This window comes from Homo sapiens, chromosome 21, assembly GCF_000001405.40.
Source record: "Homo sapiens chromosome 21, GRCh38.p14 Primary Assembly".
Lineage (NCBI taxonomy): Eukaryota > Metazoa > Chordata > Mammalia > Primates > Hominidae > Homo > Homo sapiens.
Genome location: NC_000021.9, coordinates 33,306,389 through 33,330,440, shown reverse-complemented (window position 1 = coordinate 33,330,440; position 24,052 = coordinate 33,306,389). Strand labels below are relative to the sequence as shown.

Here is a 24,052-nt window from a genome sequence, read left to right as displayed (position 1 = left end):
AGTGACTTTCTAATTTTCCCCATAAATGCAGTTGTTTTTAAATGTCCTAGTCTTTAATATCCGGCTCCCAAAAGTGAAAGAGAAAAATGAAGCAGAGGGAGATTTCTAGCCCTTTAAATCCATGGGGCAGGGGAGTGAGTGGGGAGGGGGTTGTAACAATGAGTAAGGTGTAACAACAACAACCGCCCATCTCTTTGCGCTTTTGTGACGAGAAGGAGCAATGACCAATCAAGAGCACAGATCCCAGATATCTGGATGGTGTGTTTCTTTTTGCCCACCTGATTCCTGTAAGTTGTGTGCAGATTGCTCTAATAACGTGCACAGCTGTCTGCTAAGGGTTGAGAGGTGGAAGATGGGTAGCTGCTACTGTACTAAGAGCTCAAATAGACCAAAATTAACTGCAATTTACCATCTAAGTCTGTCCCCTGGAAGTTGCAAGCCTGCAATAGACTCCAGAGTTCCAAAATAGTTACATCAGATTCTGCCAGTACAATTCTTGTCTAGGTGAGGAGACAGATTCCTGGTGCTTTCTACTCTGCCATCTTCCCAGAATCCTCAAAAGAAGTATTTGTAAAAACTGCTTCTTTGTGTTAAACATAAATCTCCAACTAGATTGCAAGTTCCTTAAGGGCAGAATTTATATCGCTTCATACTTGATTTGCATTTTTTCAGAGTATCCAGCATAATGGTGCATTCACAGGAACTCCTTAAATATCATAAAGGACTGATCTCTCACTTTGATAAGTTATATATTTTTTAAAAGATCAGCTTTTAAATTCATTTATGGTTCCTACAATATTTCTTTTACTTCTGCCTTGGGGCAATCATGTTATCTTGTTGTAGACTTGTTCTACCACAGGGGTTCTTGTATAGAACTTTCTTAACTGAGACAGCTTCTTGCTCTTTCCAGTTAGATCTTATAGTATGGGGTCAAAAGGGGAGACAGCTGAGAAAACACTTTTTTTTTTTTTAAACTTAATGTGGTACCCATCAGGTCTCCCCATCCTCAATTTTCTGTTTCATACTTGGAGTCTCTAAAACTTCATCCCTGAATAGAATACATCACATCCCCTTATCCCACTCTAGAATTCTTAACTTGGTTCTCATCCATTTGTTAGAATTTATAGATTCTATGCAGCCAAAGGGTAGCAACTGGGTTTACAGAGTTTAACAAAAGATCTGATGGCATTTGTAGTATTTACAATATCTTGTGCAGAATATTATAATTCTAGTAATTTTGGGCCTTGAGACAAGAATAGAAAATGTTATAGGGTACAGCTAGTGATTTCCTCAGGGAGAAAAAAAATCCTTTACTGCTAAAAGAAGGAGACCCTGAAGTTACAGGCATGTTGGCATTTGGAAGACCAACAAATAACTGACTGATAAATGGACAGGGGCTTGGAAATAAAGTTATTAAACAGGATTTTAGTTTTCACAGATTTTGCTCTATTATTATTGGCAATCTCCTTTTAATAATTTTTTCATAAATTGTTATGTAACATTAACATACAATATATTAATTTACTAGTATATTAAAATGTTTTATATTAGTATATTAACAATTAATTACCCCACATGTAAATGTATAAATGGACATTTAATCTAATATATATATAATGCATTTATAATTTTGGTTGCTTTCAACCTTTCACATTCATTTTCACGACCAAAATGGTTTACTATATCTTTAAGTCTGACATAAATCCAAATATAGATATCTGTACAAATATGTAAGTAAATGTCTTCCCATATTTTGGATAGTTTTCTTAATCTAGAGTCCTAGAATTGCATTTACTAGGCTAAAAGGTACATTTATACAACTTCTGAAAGACTGAGCAACATTACAATCTCACTGAGATAACTTTCAGGATCAGCTTGAGCTGTAAACTTAAGGTCTTGAGTTTTCAACATGATTTTTTTTGGGGAAAAAGTAGATAGTTACGTAAACCAAAAATAAAATTCTAAGTCCCCCAACCATCAGAATGGACCCCTTCTCCTGACCAAGGGCATTCCAAAGCTAACCTGAAAAACTACTTCAGGCCATGATGCGAAGTGAGGTTTGGATATGCCTCATTATACCCTCCTCTCTTCTGGAATTCAGAAAAAGCTAACCACCATTAACAACAACACAGACGTTAAGTTTCACAAGAAACAGTTACAATCTATTCTCTCTGAAGCCTGCTATCTGCAGGCCTCATCTGCATCAAGGGTGTCCACTCTTTTTGCTTCCGTGGGCCACACTGGAAGAACAACTGTCTTGGGCCACACACAAAATACACTAACAATATCTGATGAGCTAAAAACAAACAAACAAAAAAACAGAAAGAAAACAAACAAAACAAAAACCCCTCATGTTTTAAGAAAGTTTACGAATTTGTGTTGGACTGCATTCAAAGCCATCATGGGCTGCACGCGGCCAGTGGGCTGTGGGTTGGACAAGCTTGATCTGCATGATAAAATTTTGGTCTCCACAACCCCTTAGGACATCCCAGACATTCCTTTCCATTGATTTCAACCAATTACCAATCAGAAAATCTTTAAATCTACCTATGACCTGGAAGCCTTGCTTTGAGTTGTCCTGCCTTTCCAGATCGAACCAATCAAATGTACATCTTAGATGTACTGATTGATATGTCTCCCTAAAATGTATAAAAGCAAGCTGGACCTTGACCACCTTGGGCACATGTGGCCAGGACCTCTTGAGGCTGTGTCATGAATGCATCCTTAACCTTGGCAAAATAAACTTTCTAAGTTGATTTCAGACCGGTCTCAGATATTTTTGGGCTCACAGTTAACTGAAAGATACTGATAATTAGGCCCTTAACATACAAGTGGACAATCAGGAATTTAAATTGTTTGGCCTTTGGGAAAACAGTCTAGTCTGGTTAAGCCCCAAGGCTATTAGTCCAGACTCAGGATTTGACTTCCCACTCCTCCACGGACTGGCCTATACAGCCTCAGGCAAGTTACTTGATCTCTCCGTTGCTCAGTTTCCTTGTCTGTTAACTAAGCATAACAGTATCTACACTGCTCTGAAAGCTTAATGAGTTTATACCTTTAAAACACTTAGATTACTGCCTGGCACACAGCTAAGAGCTTAAGAAATGATAAATGCCTATAAATTATATCTTGCCACCTGTCCGCTAACCTAATTTTAAATTAATTTCTTAATGCACACCCTCCTGGAATGTCAATTTTATATGAAAATTCTGGGAAAGCTTTTTTCACATCAAACCAAACATGAGTTTAATGCAAGTTTTTCATAAACAAAAGACTTCAAAGAAATTACTATGGGATGCACCAGGACCCTAGTACCCACATCCTAGGAAAAGTATACTACATATTTGTGGAAAAGTTTGAGAAATAGGATATCATGTACCACACAGGTATATGGTTTCCTAAGCCAACAGGTAAAGTATTTTGAACTCACTTGCAGGCTCACAGACCACCTGGACTCCTGCACTGGGATGCTAGCCCTGATTCTCTTTGGGTACCCCTCCTCACTACAAAATTACCTCTCACTCTCTATCAACCTTGTAATAGTTGCCATTCCCCCATGCATCCCAAGTAAGTATGAAGAATTTCAGCAAATTAGCCTGGTGACGCCCTGCCTTTGTATTTTTCTTTTATTATTTTTGTAAAAGAAAAAAAAAAATCTCAGGACCTCTCCCAACTTTCTTACGCAAAAGGGAAGTTAGTTAAGCCCAGAGGCCAAGTGACTGCAACACCCTCTTCCAAACGAATGGCTGTTACTAGCATTATGCTTCAGCCAAATCCCCAAGGAAGGATAAAAAGACTCAGCCATCTGCGAAGGGCTACCCTGACAGATCATTCATAAGTCAATTCTTTGCTGGTCTCCCATAAACAAGGGGATGCCAACTGTAACTTCAGGTCTACAACCTAAGTCTAGTTCCTAAAACTAAAGTCTAAAACATAAATAGATCGGGCGTGGTGGCTCACACCTGTAATCCCAGCACTTTGGGAGGCTGAAGTGGATTGTTTGAGGTCAGGAGTTCGAGACCAGCCTGGCCAACATGGCAAAACCCCATCTCTACTAGAAATACAAAAAATAGCCGGATGTGGTGGCGTGCACCTGTAATTCCAGCTACTCAAGAGGCTGAGGCAGGAGAATCGCCTGAACCTGGGAGGCAGAGGTTGCAGTGAGCTGAGATCACGCCTCTGCACACCAGCCTGGGCAACAGGCTGTCTCAAAAAAAAAAAAAAAAAAGTATAAATAAAAATGTCTTCCCATATTTTGGACAGTTTTCTTAGTCTTGGGTCCTAGAATTGCATTTACTAGTTTAAAAAGTATGACTATTTTTATGACTTCTGAAAGACTGAGCAACATTACAATCTCATTGAGATAACATTTCATTGAGTTTTGAACATGATTATTTCTTTGGGAAAAAAGTAGGTAGTTAAGTAAACCAAAAATAAAATTCTAAGCCCCCCAACAATGTGAATGGACCTCTCCTCTCAACAAATGGCATTCCAAAGTTAATCTGAAAAACTAGTTCAGGCCTTCCACACTGACCATGTCAATTACAAGCTTATCTTCTCAGGTGCAAAACAAAGTCAAGACTCCATCTACCCAGAGGCATCTGCATAACTGACTCCCTTTACTCTCTTTTTCTCTTCAAGACACTCATGGTATCTTAAAATACAGATTTCTTGGGCACTAACTAAATTCTCACAGAACTATTTGCCTTACTGCCTTCCTGCCCCACCTCCTGAAAACCTCTGGAAAACCAGTCACAGACGTGTTTGTGGCTCACGTTTTTCCCGGATGCGCCCTGAAGCAGGCTTAGTAAACCTCGAGAACTGACAATTATGCTTCAGTCACTCCGACTGTCATTTTTTATTGGCCTGTATGAATCCTGAGGGCAGAGAAATCCTGGCCACACTTAGCTCACTCCCCCGTGGGACTGGGCGCCTATTCACCAGATTGAGGAAATGCATTTCGGGAAATGTTTTGTTTATTATCAAACAGACCAGCGGAGCCGCGGTACTTTCCCGGAAAGAATCAAACTCGACACAAAGCTCTGGCACCGCCATTTCACGGGGGTGGGACCCGGGCGCTCCCGAGGACCCGTACACGGCCACAGGCAAGCGGCAAGAGAGGACCCAGAACACCACTTTCTCCTGGTTGATTTGCGAGCCCAGGTCGGGTTTAATCTTTGGCGCGGCAAAGTGGACCGAAGGTTTCCCAGACTGGGCGTCTGTCGCCCCCAACAGCATCGCCGCCCCCGTAGCCCAGCTGCGTGCCCTACCTCCCGCCCTGCGCCAAGACTCTCCTCCCCGCCTCTCACCTGCGGCTGCGGACAACACCCATGGCGCCACGGCGACGAGCACTAGGGTCGTCGCGCCCAGGAGGACGACCATCATCTGGGAGCCGCCGCAGATCCCACCAGTTACATGTTCGCGCACGCGCAGCTCCTCTCAGCCGCCATCGCCCCGTCCTAAGTCACACCGCCCCTCTGCACACGCGCTGCCCCTCTTAGCTCTCACCGCCCCTCTACGCACGCGCCGCCTCTTCTGACACACACACCGCCCCTCCGCGCACGCGCCGTTCCTCCACGCACGCGCCTTTCCTCCTAGCTAGCACCCCTTCTCCAAGCTCCCATTGCCCCATCCTAATTGCAGCACCCCTGTGCGCGCGCGCCTTAGAAATCGCAGGCCTCCTGCATTCTCTTCTTCCTCACTCTTTCCGGCCTATGGCCGGTCTGGAGCACTTCACCATCGCATTCCAGGACGACTCCCCCTCACAGGAGGCCTTGACCTTCACAGGATCGCGGCACACACCTGCGCAGACCCAGCGACTTTGGAGTTCCCGCGTCTCTTCCCCATGTCTGCAGTCGGAGGGCGCGGGTGGGCTCCTGGTCGCGGCCCGGCGCTCTTCGTCCTCGCCCTTCTCCGCCCGGGGCGCTTGCTGACCCTAGAGTCTTGGACAGTGGCGTTGGGAGTCCCCAGCGGCCTGGGAACCAGATGAGGCTGGAAGGAGGAAGTGGCTGAGCGACCAGACCGTTGCTGTGTGCAGAGCGAGAGCGGGGCAGAGGCGGTCGAGCGCTCGTTTTCCGGGCGACTTGGCTGAGGGGCGAGATGGTCCCTTGGAGAGAACAGCCACGGGCCCTGGGCCGAGGGGCTCCAAACAGCAGTCGCTAGGCTGTTTTGGTCGTCGGGCTTTATCAGTAAACAATTCGAGCCCATGGTTCGAATGATTATTTAATTAAATTCCTCAGTAATAGATCCAGTGCATTGTGAAAATATGCGAAATAAAATTTAAATGATGAGATAAAATAAGGAATCAAATACTTCGTTGTTATAACAACCAAGCAATTAATTAGCAATTACATAATTAAATGAATGTTTGTAAAGAACAATGCAATGGAATATATATGTATTCCATCTATATATTCCATCTCTATATTCCATCTATATATTCCATCTCTATATCCCATCACTATATTCCATCTCTATATCCCATCTCTATATTCCATCTCTATATCCCATCTCTATATTCCATCTCTATATCCCATCTCTATATCCCATCTCTATATTCCATCTCTATATTCCATATCTATTCCATCTCTATATTCCATATCTATTCCATCTCTATATTCCATATCTATTCCATCTCTATATCCCATCTCTATATTCCATCACTATATCCCATCTCTATATCCCATCTCTATATCCCATCTCTATATCCCATCTCTATATCCCATCTCTATATCCCATCTCTATATTCCATCTCTATATTCCATCTCTATTCCATCTCTATATTCCATATCTATTCCATCTCTATATTCCATATCTATTCCATCTCTATATTCCATCTCTATATTCCATCTCTATATGCCATCTCTATATGCCATATATATTCCATCTCTATATGCCATATATATTCCATCTCTATATGCCATATATATTCCATCTCTATATTCCATCTCTATATGCCATCTCTATATGCCATCTCTATATGCCATCTCTATATGCCATCTCTATATGCCATCTCTATATGCCATCTCTATATGCCATCTCTATATGCCATATATATATGCCATCTCTATAGCCATATATATATGCCATATATATATGCCATATATATATGCCATATATATATGCCATATATATATGCCATATATATATATGCCATATATATATGCCATATATATATATGCCATATATATATGCCATATATATATATGCCATATATATATGCCATATATATATATGCCATATATATATGCCATATATATATATGCCATATATATATGCCATATATATATATGCCATATATATATATGCCATGTATATATGCCATATATATATATTCCATGTATATATGCCATATATATATATTCCATGTATATATTCCATATATATATATTCCATGTATATATTCCATATATATATATTCCATGTATATATTCCATATATATATATTCCATGTATATATTCCATATATATATATTCCATGTATATATTCCATATATATATATTCCATGTATATATGCCATATATATATATTATATATATATTCCGTATATATATATTCCATACATATATTATATATCTATTCCGTATATATATATTCCATACATATATTATATATATATTCCGTATATATATATTCCATACATATATTATATATATATTCCGTATATATATATTCCATACATATATTATATATATATTCCGTATATATATATTCCGTATATATATTATATATATATTATATATATATTCCGTATATATATATTCCGTATATATATTATATATATATTCCGTATATATATATTCCGTATATATATTATATATATATTCCGTATATATATATTCCGTATATATATTATATATATATTCCATATATATATTCCATATATATATTCCATATATATATTGCATATATGTATTCCATATATGTATATTGCATATATATATTCCATATATGTATATTGCATATATATATTCCATATATATATATTCCATATATATTCCATATATATATATTCCATATATATATTCCATATATATATATTCCAGATATATATTCCATATATATATATTCCAGATATATATTCCATATATATATTCCAGATATATATTCCATATATATATATTCCAGATATATATTCCATATATATATATTCCAGATATATATTCCATATATATATTCCAGATATATATTCCATATATATATATTCCAGATATATATTCCATACGTGAATATTCCATACATATATATTCCAGACGTGTATATTCCATACATATATATTCCATACGTATATATTCCATGCGTGTATATTCCATACGTATATATTCCATACTTATGTGTCCCATATATGTATATTCCATATGTATATTCCATACGTATGTGTCCCATATGTATATATACGTATATATTCCATACGTATGTGTCCCATATATATATTCCATACGTATGTGTCCCATATGTATATGGGACCCATACGTATGGTCGACATACGTATGTTTCACATATGTATGGTCCACATACGTATGTTCCACATATGTATGGTCCACATACGTATGTTCCACATATGTATGGTCCACATACGTATGTTCCACATATGTATGTTCCACATACGTATGTTCCATATATATTGGTTCCACATATATATGTTCTATATATGTATTGGTTCCACATATATATGTTGCATATATGTATTGGTTCCACATATATATGTTGCATATATGTATTGGTTCCACATATATATGTTGCATATATGTATTGGTTCCACATATATATGTTGCATATATGTATTGGTTCCACATATATATGTTGCATATATGTATTGGTTCCACATATATATGTTGCATATATGTATTGGTTCCACATATATATGTTGCATATATGTATTGGTTCCACATATATATGTTGCATATATGTATTGGTTCCACATATGTATGTTGCATATATGTATTGGTTCCACATATGTATGTTCCATATATGTATTGGTTCCACATATGTATGTTCCATATATGTATTTGTTCCACATATGTATGTTCCATATATGTATTTGTTCCACATATGTATATATGTTCCATATATACATATATGTATATATTCCATTGCATTGTTCGAATCGGAGTCTTGCTCTGTCACCCGGGCTGGAGTGCAGTGGCGCGATCTCGGCTCACCACAACCTCCGCCTTCCGGGTTCAAGCGATTCTCCTGCTTCAGCCTCCTGAGTAGCTGAGATTACAGCTGTGCGCTATTGCGCCCGGCTAGTTTTTGTATTTTTAGTGGAGATGGGATTTCCGCTGTGTTACCCAGGCTGGTCTGGAACTCCTGACCTGAAGTGATCCGCTCACCTTTGCTTCCCGGAGTGCTGGGATTGCAGGCGTGAGTCACCACGCCCAGGGGAAATATGCCTATTTTAAAAACATCTTAGAGGTATAATTTATGTATCTTGAAATTCACCCAGTTTGAGTGAATAATGATTTTTAGGCAATCTATCCAGCTGTTAGGTATCGTTTAAAAAACTTTGAATTATCACTTTACGATTCATCGATTTGGGGGTTTGATTTTGAGTGTGTCAGTACTTCGTTTTAACAACACCAAAGGTGGAAAAACACCCCATGAAGATACGTGAATCCAAATGGAAGAGGAAAAATTCCTGGTTGCAATTACAAAATAATACTTATTTTAAAAGCCTTTTGAACGACTCTGCATGTTTAAATTAAAATTTCCATTTCCTGCTGTCCAAAAGTTCTTGCAAACTAGTTGGAATAGGATGCATTTTTATATTTAGAACAATGAGCTCAAAATGACTGAAAAGTTTAATTAGATTTTTAAACACATTGACAATTTCCTCCCCTCCTTTTCTTCCTCCTTTCCTAAGATTTTCACTCTTCCCCATCTTAATACAACCTATTATAAACATTGAATTGTATTTTAATAAAATTGGATTGTGCTTTAATAAAATTTGCCACAGCTGTGACACCCTGTGGTAAGTACTTCGTGTACTTTAGTTTCAACTTTTTTGCTGTAATAATTTATTTAAGGATAAGACATGAATTAATTTCCCCTGTGGTGCAAGCTCTGTAACCTTAACCCAGAACCTCCCTTCTCTCCTTTATTCTAGTCAAAACGGTCCATTAGAGGCTGCACTTGCAGTTTTTCCATACAGCATGTTCTTTTTCACCTTTTTTGGTGGGGAGGGGAGAGGGAATCTTGCTCTGTTGCCCAGGATGAAGTGCAGTGGCATGATCTCGGCTCCCAGCAACCTCTGCCTCCTCAGTTCAAGCGATTCTTCTGCCTCAGCCTCCTAAGTAGCTGGGACTACAGGCGTGTGCCACTGCGCCTGGCGAATTTTTGTATTTTTAGTAGAGACGGGGTTTTGCCATGTTGGCCAGGCTGGTCTTGAACTCCTGGCCTCAAGTAATCCACCTACCTCAGCCTCCCAGAGTGCTGGGATTACAGGAGTGAGCCACTACACCCAGTCCCATTTTTACTTTTTGCTTGGAAATAATTTGAAATTACAGACAAGTTGCAAAAATAGTAAGATAGCTCCCACATACCCGTTGCCCAGATTCAGCAAATCGTTAATATTTTGCCATATCTACACTCCCTCTTTAAATACACATACAAAGTCATGTATGTATGTTATTTATTTTCCTGAACTTCTTTAGCTTTCTTTAATCCAGAGTACTTCCCTGGCCATTGTCTTTCATGTCATGGACATTTTTTTGATTTGGGGATTTTTTTTTTTTTTTTTGAAAAACACAGGCCAACTATTTTATAGAATGCTTCTCCAATTTGGACTTGTCTGATGGTTTCTCCTGATTAATTTCAGATTATGCGTACCTGGCTTGTGTGGTGTCCTCAGTCCCTTCACAGGCACATTAAGCTTATTAGTACCTCATATGTGATGTTAATTTTGATCATGTATCAAAGTATTATAGTTACAGTCTCCATTGTATAGTTACTATTCCGCCCCCCATCGACCTCCCCTCCCACCCCACCTCCTGCAGCTAATTGGTGGGAAGACACTCGGAAATCCTGCAAATATTCTGCTGTTCATCAAACTTTTCTTCTAGAATTAACATCCATTAATCATCCTTGCCTGAACTATCCTACCTGTGATGGTCATGAAATGGTAAGTTTTCAACCCTGACCCTCTCACTGCAAATATTAGTTGACACAATTTAAGAAAGAGCTTTTCTTTCTTTCCATTTATATTTATTTATTTATTTATTTATTTGAGATGGTGCTTTGCTCTTGTTGCCCAGGCTGGAGTGCAATGGCGCCATCTCGGTTCACCGCAACATTTGCCTCCTGGGTTCAAGCAATTCTCCTGCCTCAGCCTCCCGAGTAGCTGGGATTACAGGCATGTACCAGCATGCCCGGCTAATTGTGTATTTTTAGTAGAGACAGGGTTTCTCCATGTTGGTTAGGCTGGTCTCGAACTCCCGACCTCAGGTGATCTGCCCGCCTCGGCCTCTCAAAGTGCTGGGATTACAGGCGTGAGCCACCACGCCCGGTCTCCATTTATTATTAGTATAGACTCACAGATTCTTATTTTATTTCATTGGTTATAGTTCATTGTTATCCTTACTTAAATTTTTAAAATTAATATACAACTTTTAGAGGAGTTTTAGGTTTACAGACAGTGTGGAGAGTTCTTATATACCCCCTCATCCCAAGCCTGCTTTCAGTTTCCCGTTGTTAACATCTTGCATTGGGGTGGTACATTTCTTACAGCTGATGAACGTATACTGATACATTATTAACTAAAGTCCAGAGTTTACGTAAGAGTTCTTTCTTGGTGTTGTACATTCTATGGGTTTTTACAATGTATAATTGTTACTGGTAGAAGGCATCCCAGTTACCTGCACAGCAAATTCGACTGAGGGGCATAAGGCGGAAAAAGAGACTGAGGCAAGTTTCAGAGAAGGAGTGGAAGTTTATTTAAAAAGGCTTTAGAACGGGAAAGAAAGGAAAGTACACTTGGAAGAGACCCAAGCGGGCAAATTGAAGGACAAATGCAGCGTTTAACTGTGATTCTAGGATTTATAGGCTGGCCCACTTCTGGGGTTTTGCACCCCTTTCCCATGATTCTTCCCTTAGGGTGGGCTGCCCGCATGCGCAGTGCCCTTCTTACACTTGGGAGGTGAACATGTGCAGTGTGTTTAGGAAGTTGTGCGCATGCCCATCTGAAGATTTCTTCCCTTTTCCGATGGAGTGCCCCCGGAAGGTCATACTCTGCCGTTTTGTCTCTTAATGTGCATGCACCGGCTCACTCACCCAATACCGGAGATTATTGGAAGCTCTTTTTGCTTCTTGGCGCCTACATTCAATTAACACTCTAATGTAATAGCTGTGGACCATTAGGAGATAATTCGGCTCTGGGTGCTGAATTATTTTTAGAGAGGCAATGTGATTGTTGAACCATCACCTGACATTCCTGGTGGGTGGGGGAAGAGCCGTCTCCTGCCCTTCTCATACATAACCACTTGCAACATAATGTCATGTATCTACCATTACAGCATCATACAGAGGCATTTCACCGCCCTAAATATCACCTGTGCTCTACCAATTCACCCTCCTTATTTATTTTAATGCTCAAATTGTCCTAGATTTGGCCAGTGGCAGCCACTTCAAGCTGACTCTTGTTCCTTTTGCTAGTATGCTCTTAATTTTTTCTAACACTTCTTTACTTTCTAGCACAAGATGTTCCAAGTTCATCTTATATTTTTCCTGCTCAGTCCTAAAATCAGCCATTTCTTCAAGGGGCCCTGCTTTTTGTTGTTGTTGTTGTTGTTGATGATGTTTTTATTGGGGGATGGTATTTAGAAACCAATATATGGGCACTAAAACTTTTTGTTTTAATTAAGGAAGTAAATTACTGTTGAGTATATATTTTATCTTTCCCTTTTTGGCTAACAAAGAAAAAGTCGTTCCTTGGGTATTTCACTTTTGGAAAAAGACATGTTAGAAACATCTGTGCTTTAGAGCATGTTTCCATATGATTACGTGGCAGATTTCCCACACTGTGAAATTGAACTCTTGTTTCTTCGCATTGTCAGCCGTATTTGCTATACACAGTCCAACACTATTGCTGACTGAGGAATGTATTTTAGTTTGTCATATTGTAGAAAGAAGAACAAGGGGCATGTGGCTTTTTGTCTTTTGCTATTAAGAACCCCCAAAGCAGTTTCTAAACACTGTCACCAATTACGAAATTTTGTAAAGAACCAAAACGAATGAGTATCATATGACTTTAAACACTCTTGGAAAGAAATTGTGGGGGTTTGCTTTTCTGGAAAATGTCTTCCTAATGTGATGGCTTCATACTGTGATTAGCTAATATGTCAAGGCTGCTGTTATCTTATTCACTTGTGTATTAATAGTACTATCTTTAATTTCCAATTTATTTGCAAGAATCTTGTCACATCCATTTTGTGAGCATTAATTTAGTTAAAACTAGCTAACGACCTGTAAACACACATCAAGCCAAGTAAATGGTTAGACATAATCACAAACTCCAAAAGTGTACAAGCAGAAGCATCGCTGCGCATTTCCACCTTGTGAGTTTCTCACTCTGTTCTCAAGTGTGTCACACATCACTGAATGTGACAATGTGATGCTCTGGCATTTGGACCAAGTGAAGGTGCTTGTGCTAGGTTATATATCAAATATCAAAAGCTTAATTTATTTCTTATTAAAGAATGTAAATAGAATTTCACTGCACTTCGGTGGACCCTGTAATCCAACGCAAACCCCTAGGGTGGGTGCACCCTGGATTAGAAATCACTGCTTTAGAACCTTCCAGAAGAATAAATTCACTTCTTTCTGGGAGGAGAGTTTGGTAGATGAAAGGAGAAGAGTCCTAGCTGAGTAGCAGCCCAGTGGCACAGACTTTGAGGGTGTACAAACACTAGCTCCAGGATGTTCAGGAAGGAATCTGAGCCGTTCTACTCTGGAATCTCCAGAATGTCTTTCTCCTTGGTGCTTTATCATCCTATACATTTCCTCATCCCAGTAGGCAGGCAATTCAGTAAAAGATAGTAGTGAAGCTGGCACAGTGGCTCACACCTGTAATCCCAGCATTTTGAGAGGCTGCAGCAAGAGGATCACTTGAGCCCAGGAGTTTGAGACCAGCCTGGACAACAAAGAGAGACCCCCATATCTGCAAAAAATACAATTAGTTGGATGAGGTGGCAGAGGCCTGTGGTCCTAGCTACTCAGGAGGCTGAGCCTGGAGAATCGCTTGAACTCCAGGAAGTCAAGGCTACAATGAGCCGTGATCACACCACTGCACTCCAGCCTGGGTGACAGAGTGAGATGCTATTTCAAAATAGTAATAATGATGATGATGAAGCAAACGGTGGGAACACTAAACTAGTTTAGTGGTGAGGGATACACATTGCAGCAGGTGACCTGCAGTAAGAGATGTTTAAGGGGAGGCAGAGTATAAGTAGGAGATAGGAAAAGAAGAGGGATACAGCATTCTAAATAAAGGGAACAGCATATTTGAAGGTCTAGTCTGTGTTCACATGGCTTGAGGAAAGATTGAGTGTGGCTGCATGCTCACTGCATACTGAGAAAGATGTCTGTTTTTAAGCAGTAACATGGAAGACAGCCATACGCCTTTTCAAGTGGTAACTAAGTATCTCTTAAACAGAGACTGGCCTACTGGTTAAGAGTCTGAGTTCTGAAGTTGACTTAGGTTGCTATCCCACCTCCGTCACTCTGGGATCTTGGGCAAGTTACTTAATCTTTTTTCCTGCTTCCTCATGGGGACTATAATAATATCTATATCATAGTGGTGTGATGAATTTTTAATCAGTTAATGCACACCAAGAGCTTAGTTTAGTGTCTGGCACAGTGTGCTCAGTAATTTTGGTTATTTTTTTCTGACCATCGTGGTTACTGTTTTTCCTACTTCAGGAGGGCTCAGAGGGAAGATCTAGTTTTTCTGGAGAAAACCTGAAGGATCAAATAGCCCCAATGATCAAAACTTCATAGTCTGCAACCTCAATTGAGCTGAAATTAAAAACCTACACTTACTTCACATCTCTACCCTACAGCTTTTCTTCTCATTTTCAACAGATGTTCCTCCACCCAGCTCCTAGTTTCTTGGAAAATACAGTCAACAGATCAGGTTTCAGCTCTCCATCACCAAAACTTCAAACTCACCTGCACCTGCTTCCATTCTGTCTTTCCCTGTCGTTGGGAAGACATCCTTCTTTCAGTCAAATGAAAATCTCTCTGTCTGGTTCCGTGAGCCACCCCTTCATAGGGATGGCTATCCGTTGATTATTTTTACGTTTTTTCATGACTTTATCTCCTCTCTTTAGTTTCTTCTTGTTAACAGTTACACATTCTCAAGTCTCTCCCAATTTAAAAAGGCGTATATGCTGCTTTCACTCCAGAAGCCGTCCTTCCTGTTATTATTCGTAGCCAAATCTGTCTACATTTGTCCACAACTATCTTTGTTTTCTCACTTATGTATTCCTCAGCCCACTGAGCTTATCTTTCTGTCCCGTTTTGCTTATTCTCTTCTCACCCAGATCATCAGCTAATTTCTAGTATTCAGATCTATTAGACATTTTATAGCCTTGATTTTACTTGACTTCTCCATAGCATTTGGTATCTATCATTCCCCACGCTCTTTTTCTCATGATTCCATACTCGTTTGCTGTTGCATCTGTCTTTCTGGCCATTCTTCTCAATCTCCAGGACAACCCACTCCACTGCTTGTGACTTAAATATTAGTGTCCCTCACTGCTTTGTCCTGGCTCATCTTCTTTTCTCATCTCCTATAGTGGTCTCTTCCTCTTCTGTGAGTTCACTGACTGTCATTTATGCTCATGGCTCCCAAATTGGTCTTCAGCCTAGATTTCTTTCCTGATATCCAGATTTTATATCTATCAGTGTATTGGAAAGAGGAGGATGAGCCTTTATTCCCCTAATGATTCTGCTCCTCATTTGAGGAGTCTGGCTCCGTCCCAAAATCTTGTGCGTGATCTTTCAATCCTGACCACAGAAATTACAAAGCTTTGTCTGCCAGGCCTCATGGGGAGAAACTGTCCTCCCCATACCAGACTTGCATGTGCACTACAGTGCACTGCATTTTTCTAGAGGGATTTGTGGTTAAGGACTCAGCTTTCCCACCTCCCACACCACCTCTGGCCAGCCCTGCTCATAAGCGTATCTGCATTCCTGGCCATTCTGTAGGGGAAAAAGGAACACTGGGGTGCTGCCGCCTCTTTTTTGCTTCTTGTTTGCAGTTAATAAAGGCTTGATTGTTATTTTCAGTTCAGCTCATTGTCCTAAATACTATCTGGACACCTGATTGCTTGACACCATTCAGTGGACCCTTTCTATTTGAGGATTTGTGTCTGTCTAGCTGAAGAAAATTTTCATGTATCATTTTTGTGGCTGGGGTTTGGTGAGCTTCTTGGATCGATGGGTTTATAGTTTTCATCAAGCTTGGAAAACTATTGGCCATTCTTTCAATTTTTTTCTTATCCTCGCTTTACTCTCCTTCAAAATGCACACTTATTAGACTCCTTAAAGTTGTGTTCGATGCTATTCTTTCATTTTTTCTTGTCCTTTCCCCTGTGTCTTTCATTTTGAATAGTTTCTATCACTATGTCTTCAATATCACTGCTCTTTTCTTCTACAGTGTCTAATCAGCTATTAATCTGAATTCAGTATATTTTTCATCTCAGACATTGTACTCTTCATCTCTAGAAGTTGGATTTAGTCTTTTAAAAATATATTTCATGTCTTTCCTTAATATACTAATGCTTTCTTTCATCTTCTTGAACATATAAAATATGGTTTCAATAACCGTTTTAATGTCCCAATCTACCAAATCTATCTACTATTTCTATTGATTTACTTTTCTTCTTGTTAAATTAAATTTAGCCTAAAGCTACCTCCTTACATATTTTAAGTCTGGCCTAAAGGCTTCTTTGTACATCATGAACTGTAGCCTACCTAGATGTGTAAACAGACTGTAATTTGCTCTTGTAACAAGTAGCGGAGTCTCAGCCAATCACAGCAGCTGAGTTTTGGCCATTCACAGGTGGCCAGCTGTTTAAGCCAGCTTCAATAAGGCAACAAAACAGCTGTGATCAATCCAGCTATTTCTGTATCTCACTTCTGTTTTCTGTACATCCCTTTCCTTTTTCTGTTTAAAAATGTTATTGACCATGTGGCAGCCCTGAAGTTGCTCTGAACCTATTCTGGGGGCTGCCCAATTTATGAATTGTTCTTTGCTAAATTAAACTCTATTGAATTTAATTTGTTTAATTTTTTTGTTAAAAAACACTCTCATTCATTATGGGTTGTATTTTCCTACCTTTTTTCATGGCTAGTAATTTTTTATTGGGTGCCAGACATTATAAATTTTACATTGTTGGGTGCTGGATATTTCTTTATTCCTATAAATATTGCTTGAGTTTTATTCTGGGATCCAGCTAAGCTACTTGGAAATGGTTTGGTACTTTTGAGGCTTGCTTTTGTCAGAGAGGATCAGGCAAGTGTTTGGTGTAAGAGCACATTTGCCCCACTATTGAAGTAATAGCCCCCTGAGTATGCTACCTGATGCTTCATGAATTATGAGATTTTCCACGCTGGTTGGAAACTATTTTCAGCCCAGCATGAACCCTGGGGATTTATCCCTTTGCTTTTTTAGCGTGGTTCTTTCCCTGGCCTCAAGTTTCCTTACTACACATTGTCTGATCAGTAATTAGCCTAATACTCTTTGCAGCTCTCTGGAGCTTTTTCTCTGTGTGAAGCTCTGTCTTGTCTGGTTCTCTACTCCATGAAATCTAGCTGCCCTGGCCTCCTTGGACTCCTAGCTGCGTTTCCTCGACCCACAGGGATATGGAGTCCTTCTCTCTATGCTGAGGCCTAGAAATTCTCTCCAGTAAGTCAGTTTGGGCAATTGTAGAGATCATCTCAATTGTTTCTCTTCTCTTAGGGATTACTGTCCTGAGTTTTTTATTGTCTAATATCTAAAAATATGTATTTTAAATCTTTTGTGCTATTTTGGTTGTTTATTTATAGTTTAAGGCGAAAGAGTAAATCTGCTCCATGTTACTCCATCATGGCCAGAAGCAGAAGTCTCATCCTTGCACCGTGTTTTAAATACTTCCTCCCTTCCATTTTCTTTCTTCTTTCTTAAACTCCTATTAGTAGAAAATTGTACTTCCTGGATTGACCCTTGAGGTCTCCTAATATGTTCTCTCTAGTTTTTAACTCTTTATATTTTTGTCCTTGGTTCCGGAAGATTTACTTGATTTCTAATGAAATATTTATTTCTGTGATTATATGTTTAATTTTTAAAAGCACTTCTTTATTCTGATTTTTTAATATATAGCATCATGTTCTCATTTTATGGATGCACGAATGTGGGATCTTTTAGAATTTGGGTTTCTGTGACATTCTCTTCTGTTCCAATATTCTATTTCTTTAAGAGTCAATTGGTTCTGTTTGTCTTTTTCTTTTATTTTTCTCATTGGCAATCTTTGAGTATTTTTTAAATATATTTTAAAGGAGACAGCAGGTTGATTTTTTTTAGGTAGCTAGTATTAACAGAGTCTTTCTCAAGAAAATGAAGACGTGTTTTTGAGGCAGAACTTATCTCTGGAAGCATCCCTGTAGGATAAGTAGGGAAGTAGGGTGTGAGACATTGCAAGATTGTGGACACCAACTGCCAGAATGGTGAACTCTTCCCTTTGGCCTACTGAAGAGTGCAGTAATATTGCCAGGGTGGTTAATTCAATTATTGAGAAGAACAGATCTATAATTTTTTGCCTAAGGGTGACTTAGACAAATGCCTGACTGCCTCAGGAAGGGGAGAGGCAGGCAGCAGAGGAGTGTGGGAAGCTTTTTGCCACTGCTATTCTGTTGACTGACTTTTAATTAACCCATTAGTGTTTGTACCTCCTCGTTTTGTTTCCACCTTTCTGTCATACCTGAGTCAAGAACAGCAGCCTTTAGATATTTTTTATTACATAATTCCAGTAGGAAAACAACAACGTTGATCATGCATTCCCAGTAGGTGTATTGTTATTTATCTATAAGCTAAATACGCATATTACTGCACATATTTTTATGCACATCGTAAATCACATACAAAATAAACATTTGAAAAGGATGCCTTTTATAGACATTTAAAAAGGGATTTTAAAGGCTTTTTATGAGATGGGGTCTTGCTTGTTGCCCAGGCTGGAGTGCAGTGGTGTGATTCTAGCAGTGGTGCAGCCTTAAACTCCTGGGCTCAAGGAATCCTCTCACTCTGTGAGAGGGAGTCTCACTCTGTCACCCAAGCTGGAGTGCAGTGGCACAATCTTGGCTCACTGCAACCTCTGTCTCCCGGGTTCAAGTGATTCTCGTGCCTCAGCCTCCTGAGTGGCTGGGATTACAGGTGCACACCACCATGTTCAGCTACTTTTTGTATTTTTAGTAGGGACAGGATTTCCCCATGTTGGCCAGGCTAGTCACAAACACCTGACCTCAAGTGATTCACCTGTCTCAGCCTCCCAAAGTGCTGGGATTACAGGCATGAGCCACCGCTCCCGGCCCCACCTCAGCCTCTTGAAGTAGCTGAGATTACAGGCATGAACCACTGTGCCTGGCTTAAATCCTTTAAAAAAATATTTGAAAAATAAAAATAAAAGACTTAATATTTGTTCCCACACCATGTATACTGGTCTTGAGCCCCCAAGACATCTGGTCTGTTCACATCTCTGCCTTCCTGATCACCTCTCTGCTCTCATGAAACCTACCTACTCAGAGTGCTATAACTTGTTGCTTTCTCCCTTTTTTGTTTACCATGTTCATGGAAAGCCCTTATGTGGAAATTAACAGAAAACTGTCTCTGTACCACAGAGAAGATAAAGGGAGATATCCCATTGCAAACTCTGGAAGAATTTTAAGCTTAAATCTGTCCATGAGTGGATGACATGGCTTTTTTGCAGGATTACTGTGGGTCACACAAGTCCTGTAGAGCACCTCTTGTAATGCCAATGACAGTGTCAGTTTTTTCTAAGTAAAATTTCTTCACAGAGTTCATGAAAGAGAGAAAAAATCCTGGAAATGTAACACGATGCAGCAGTTATTTAAGCCCAAGTTCAATGCCTTCTAACTAGGATGCATCTTACTAAACATATATTTGATAAACTATAACACAGAAGATAGGATAATGAACAAGATAGACATGGTATCTGTATTAGTCTGCTCAGGCCGCCATAACAAAATACCACAAATTATGTGGCTTAAACAACAGAAATTTATTTTCTCACAGTTCTGCAGGGTGAGAAGTCCAAGATTAAGGTTCTGGCTCATTTGGATCCTGGTGAGGCCTCCCTTCCTGCTCACAGATGGCTACATTCTCACTGTGTCCTCATATGGTGGAGAGAACAAGGTCTCTGCTGTTTCTTCTTATAAGGACACTAATCTCATCGATTCAGGGCCCCACACTTATGACCTCATTTAACCTTAATTACCTGCTGTAGGCCCTACTTCAAATACAGTCACATTGGGGATTAGGGTTTCAACATGTGAATTTTGGGGGTACACAATTCAGTTGGTAACATTACCTGTCCTCATGAAGTCCACTACAAAACACAGATATTAATAAGCAATGCAACATGTAATGAGAATGAAACATGTAGTAGAGGTAGTAACTCCTCTGGAGGACTTAAACTGTTATTCTCTACATACTTTTTGGGACGCAGAAAGCATGCATAAGCAATACACGAAAGCAATGTTTAGGAAAGAGTAAAGCTGCAGAGGTAAACCTGTGGCTTTTGACTTGAAGATAAACCATTTACATTATATGCAGGTCACAATTTTTTTGTTTGTTTTTAGTTCAAAAGGCACTTAAAATCTTGAGCATCATAACTGATATCTTGTTTAGTAGTATAAATTGTTTCTCAGTGAAAGGTAATAAAAGATTATGAACCCACAATAGCAGGTTCTTCTGACTTCTTAGTGCAACTGCTAAGACCATAGAATTGTGAGTGTTGGTCATAAGGAGGCAGTGAAGAGCAACTGAAACAAATGTAAACACTTTCTTATCTCCTTGTGATTATTTGGTAAGCTTCTCTGCTGTTTCAGAAAAAAGTCAAAATAAAACACCAACCCAAGTAGGGACTGAGTCCTCATTTGTCAATCCTAGGACCTGGATCACACACTCTCCTCTGGTCTTGCATATGCTGGTGTTATTGGTGATCCATCCATGACGCTTTGAATCTTTCTTACATGTCTATGTACATCAGCCAACATCTCCTAATGATGAACAGCTGCACTTTTGTTGGATGCAAGCCAGAAGTGGCAGATTTGTCTCTGGGACTGCTAAACCACAAACGTGCAAGGGCAACTGGAGTGCAGGTTCCAGCTGTCATAAAGAACCTCTTCAGCTGCTGTTGGGGTTTCAGATCCACTTATCTCTACTGCAATGGGGTACTTTTCTACTCCTGCAAAAATAGAAAGTCACAACAACACAGAAAACTGCAAATTTTGTACTAAATTAACACCTTATGCACCCTTAAAGGCAATGGTTTGCCAACTTTAGTGTTTATTGGAGTCACCCAAGGACCTGTTATAACATAGATGAAAATACAGACCTCTCCCTCACAGTCGCTGAGCCAGTAGGCCCGAGGCGGGGCTGGAGAGTTTGCATTCCTAAGCTTTCATGTGGTGCTGATGCTGCTGGTCTAGGAAACACACTTTGAGAGCCATTGCTTTAAAGAATCTTGATGTTCTTCTTACCCGTAGCTTAGATGATTATATTTCCTACAGTCCCTATTCTTTTTGTGGGATCTTCACATACAATATACTGTATACAGTTTTCCATGTGATTATATTGTATCTACGGGACTGTCAAAAGTTTCTTATTGGTGATGGTAGGACATTTAGAATTTTCTACTTCTATAGATGTCCTCATCAGCAGTTCTTATACCTAGCAATAAAATATTAACTTACTTCATTTAATTTTATAAAACAGCAATCTCATGCTTTTCAGATATAACAATTAATATATGCAAATATGTTGCAAATATAGTACAGTTACTATCAAAAGTTGTGAAGTTTAGAATCTTTCAGGACACTTTAACATCCATGAAGTGATTCACTTTGAAGCAAAAGCTCCTATCTGTCCTTTATTCTGATATGTTGGCATCGTGTTTTCCAGAATGAAGAACAAGGTTCCTTTGGGAATTTGTGGGCCAAAGTGTTTCTGAGAAGTGGAAAAATTGATGCCAGAGAGCTGTGAAGAAAGGAAAAGGAAGCCATCAGCTGAGAGGGCACAGTATATATGTATACATAATTTCTGGAAATCTGAAAGATGGGAAATCCTGGAAGGCAATGCAGCTATCAATGAAAGGAACATAGAAGACCTGAACTCTGGGCATGAGTCAGCCACGGATTTACTGAAAGATCCTGAGCATTCATTCATTCACTCATACATCCATGCATTCAACAAATAGATCTTGAGCCATCTATTAAGCACCAAGCACTGTTCTAAGGGCTGGGGATCCAGGAGTGAATGAAATATACAATGTCTGTGCTCTCCTGGAGCCTACAATCTAGTGTGGACAAGGACAAATGTGTGAACAAAAAATATTTGTTGAATTGAATCGAAATATTATGATGTCAAGTAATGCTACATACTATGAAGAAAAAGAAAGAGGGACAAGAGACAGCAAGGGAGAGGGCCTCTCTAAGAAAGAGACACTGGACGCAATGACACAAGGAGAGGGCTGTGTAAATAGAAAGTGTTCCATGCTTAGGGAAGAGCATATGCACGGGCTCTGAGACAGATGTGTCTCTGGCACATCCCAGGCTGTTCCGTGAAAGGGCCCTATATGCAAAAAGGCCCTCAAATGCCAAAGGAGCTGAGAAACCGAAGAACAAGGAAGACAAATTCAGTTTGTCGGTAAAGGGTGGTTTATTGGGGAACTCACAGACAGAAGCATGGTCTTGGGCAGCTGCAAGACAAAGGGATTTCTCATGGTTACCCTCAGATCCAGAGATTATATACTAGAGGGAAAGAGGGTACATACTCCAAAGAGTCAATGAAAGACCACTGTCCAGAACAGGCAAGACTGCTATGTGCGTCATAGCCTGTACTTGGTGTGATAGTATTATGGTTGCTTTGATCTCAAGGCAGGATTTGTAGCGAGTACATGTTCTTACACTAAGGACAGTAAATAAAGTAGGAATCAGGAGGACTTCAGGGACTGGGGTGAATCAGAAGTCAACATGGTGGATTAGCATCCAAGATGCAGTCACGTTTGTCTCCACACAAGCACAGCAAGTAGGCTGAGCCCCTGCAGAATGAGGAGAGAAGGGGTGCAGAGGAATGGAGGCCAGGGGAGTAGTCGGTGGGGCCTGCAGCCTCTGGCAAGGATTTGGGCTTTATTCTGGGCCAGATAGGAAGCCATGATGGAGATTTTAGCAGAGGAATGACATGATCTAAATTAGGGAAAGAAGAAGTGGAAGGTTACCAGGCGCTTAGCTCCCTCCTGGCTCCCACAGATGCTAAACTTACCCGATTTTAATAATTTTTACACACTGAAGGGAACCCACACTAAATCATTGTTTTTAAACAGCTAACAATGTTGTTGGGCTGGGTGTGGTGACTCCCAGCATTTTGGAAAGTCAAGGCAGGAGGATTGCTTGAGCCCAGGAGTTCAAGACCAGCCTGGGCAACAAAGTGAGACCCCATCTCTACAAAGCAAGTAAAAAAAATTATCTGGGCATGGTGGCACGAACCTGTAGTCCCAGCTACTTGGAAGGCTGAGGCAGGAGGACCGCTGGGTCCCAGTGGGGTCCAGGCTGCAGTGAGCCATGATCGCACCACTGCACTCCAAACAACCCCACCCCCCAAAAACCCAATGATGTAAATTCACATTCTGCTCAGATAACTATTATATCAAAAACTAGAATTTTACAAACTAGGGTTCCTCGAGTATTTAAACAATGATTAAAAATTTAATCAATTAAACTCTTTCAAACTAAAAATGTAATGAAAATTATAAGCCAAATGGATATGTTAAAATG

At 39.8% G+C, this 24,052-nt stretch overlaps 2 protein-coding genes across 11 annotated transcripts in view, besides 12 other annotated features; both read right to left on the bottom strand.

The window, feature by feature from the left end:
- The window catches only part of IFNAR1 (interferon alpha and beta receptor subunit 1), a 35,470-nt gene extending 29,424 nt beyond the window's left edge, over positions 1 to 6,046 (bottom strand). For 7 of the 8 annotated variants that reach the window (NM_001384500.1, NM_000629.3, NM_001384498.1 and 4 more), the window contains exon 1: positions 5,310 to 5,471. Coding sequence is in view for 5 of the 8 variants with exons in the window: in NM_000629.3 (NP_000620.2) it covers positions 5,310 to 5,385 (76 nt within the window). In the remaining 3 variants the exon portion in view is untranslated. Of the gene's footprint in view, positions 1 to 5,309; positions 5,472 to 5,802 lie in introns of those variants that run through there. The other variant, NM_001384504.1, reaches the window with a different exon arrangement.
- Positions 4,643 to 5,544: an enhancer, noted in NCBI's record as "H3K27ac hESC enhancer chr21:34697202-34698103 (GRCh37/hg19 assembly coordinates)". NCBI's record gives its function as "activates a minimal SCP1, AML or CMV promoter by ChIP-STARR-seq in naive and primed H9 embryonic stem cells {active_cell/tissue: H9 hESC(naive and primed)}" and the evidence as "EXISTENCE:reporter gene assay evidence [ECO:0000049][PMID:30033119]".
- Positions 4,643 to 6,767: a biological region, named in NCBI's record as "IFNAR1 promoter region". NCBI's record gives its function as "regulatory_interactions: IFNAR1".
- Positions 5,460 to 6,130: a promoter, noted in NCBI's record as "promoter fragment used in the reporter gene constructs". NCBI's record gives its function as "drives IFNAR1 transcription in transiently transfected HepG2 liver carcinoma and 293T embryonic kidney cells {active_cell/tissue: HepG2 | 293T}" and the evidence as "EXISTENCE:reporter gene assay evidence [ECO:0000049][PMID:17125879, PMID:18761606, PMID:19501422]".
- Positions 5,469 to 5,498: a protein binding site, noted in NCBI's record as "-3C/-3T probe, where the GRCh38 reference assembly contains the -3T variant". NCBI's record gives its function as "binds HMGB1 in HepG2 liver carcinoma cells with higher affinity for the -3C variant than for the -3T variant {active_cell/tissue: HepG2}" and the evidence as "EXISTENCE:protein binding evidence [ECO:0000024][PMID:19501422]".
- Position 5,482: a transcriptional cis regulatory region, noted in NCBI's record as "-3C/-3T polymorphism tested in reporter gene assays, where the GRCh38 reference assembly contains the T allele". NCBI's record gives its function as "C allele results in higher activity of the IFNAR1 promoter compared to the T allele in transiently transfected HepG2 liver carcinoma cells {active_cell/tissue: HepG2}" and the evidence as "EXISTENCE:reporter gene assay evidence [ECO:0000049][PMID:19501422]".
- Positions 5,484 to 6,767: a promoter, noted in NCBI's record as "promoter fragment used in the reporter gene constructs". NCBI's record gives its function as "drives IFNAR1 transcription in transiently transfected THP-1 monocytes {active_cell/tissue: THP-1}" and the evidence as "EXISTENCE:reporter gene assay evidence [ECO:0000049][PMID:26679744]".
- Positions 5,539 to 5,548: a transcriptional cis regulatory region, noted in NCBI's record as "-77(GT)n variable number tandem repeat region tested in reporter gene assays, where the GRCh38 reference assembly contains 5 GT repeats". NCBI's record gives its function as "9 GT repeats result in higher activity of the IFNAR1 promoter compared to 5, 14 or 15 repeats in transiently transfected 293T embryonic kidney cells {active_cell/tissue: 293T}" and the evidence as "EXISTENCE:reporter gene assay evidence [ECO:0000049][PMID:17125879]".
- Positions 5,545 to 6,447: an enhancer, noted in NCBI's record as "H3K27ac hESC enhancer chr21:34696299-34697201 (GRCh37/hg19 assembly coordinates)". NCBI's record gives its function as "activates a minimal SCP1, AML or CMV promoter by ChIP-STARR-seq in primed H9 embryonic stem cells {active_cell/tissue: H9 hESC(primed)}" and the evidence as "EXISTENCE:reporter gene assay evidence [ECO:0000049][PMID:30033119]".
- Positions 5,778 to 5,827: an enhancer, noted in NCBI's record as "active region_18377". NCBI's record gives its function as "activates an Ori minimal core promoter by ATAC-STARR-seq in GM12878 lymphoblastoid cells {active_cell/tissue: GM12878}" and the evidence as "EXISTENCE:reporter gene assay evidence [ECO:0000049][PMID:35858748]".
- Position 6,039: a transcriptional cis regulatory region, noted in NCBI's record as "rs2843710 polymorphism tested in reporter gene assays, where the GRCh38 reference assembly contains the C allele". NCBI's record gives its function as "C allele results in higher activity of the IFNAR1 promoter compared to the G allele in transiently transfected THP-1 monocytes infected with enterovirus 71 {active_cell/tissue: THP-1(+EV71 infection)}" and the evidence as "EXISTENCE:reporter gene assay evidence [ECO:0000049][PMID:26679744]".
- Positions 6,048 to 6,257: an enhancer, noted in NCBI's record as "active region_18376". NCBI's record gives its function as "activates an Ori minimal core promoter by ATAC-STARR-seq in GM12878 lymphoblastoid cells {active_cell/tissue: GM12878}" and the evidence as "EXISTENCE:reporter gene assay evidence [ECO:0000049][PMID:35858748]".
- Positions 17,095 to 17,164: a silencer, noted in NCBI's record as "silent region_13255". NCBI's record gives its function as "represses an Ori minimal core promoter by ATAC-STARR-seq in GM12878 lymphoblastoid cells {active_cell/tissue: GM12878}" and the evidence as "EXISTENCE:reporter gene assay evidence [ECO:0000049][PMID:35858748]".
- IL10RB (interleukin 10 receptor subunit beta) overlaps positions 20,259 to 24,052 on the bottom strand; it is a 43,816-nt gene continuing 40,022 nt past the window's right edge. For 2 of the 3 annotated variants that reach the window (NR_175973.1, NM_001405849.1), the window contains one exon: positions 20,259 to 21,465. Coding sequence is in view for 2 of the 3 variants with exons in the window: in NM_001405849.1 (NP_001392778.1) it covers positions 21,460 to 21,465 (6 nt within the window). In the remaining variant the exon portion in view is untranslated. Of the gene's footprint in view, positions 21,466 to 21,549; positions 22,257 to 24,052 lie in introns of those variants that run through there. The other variant, NM_001405850.1, reaches the window with a different exon arrangement.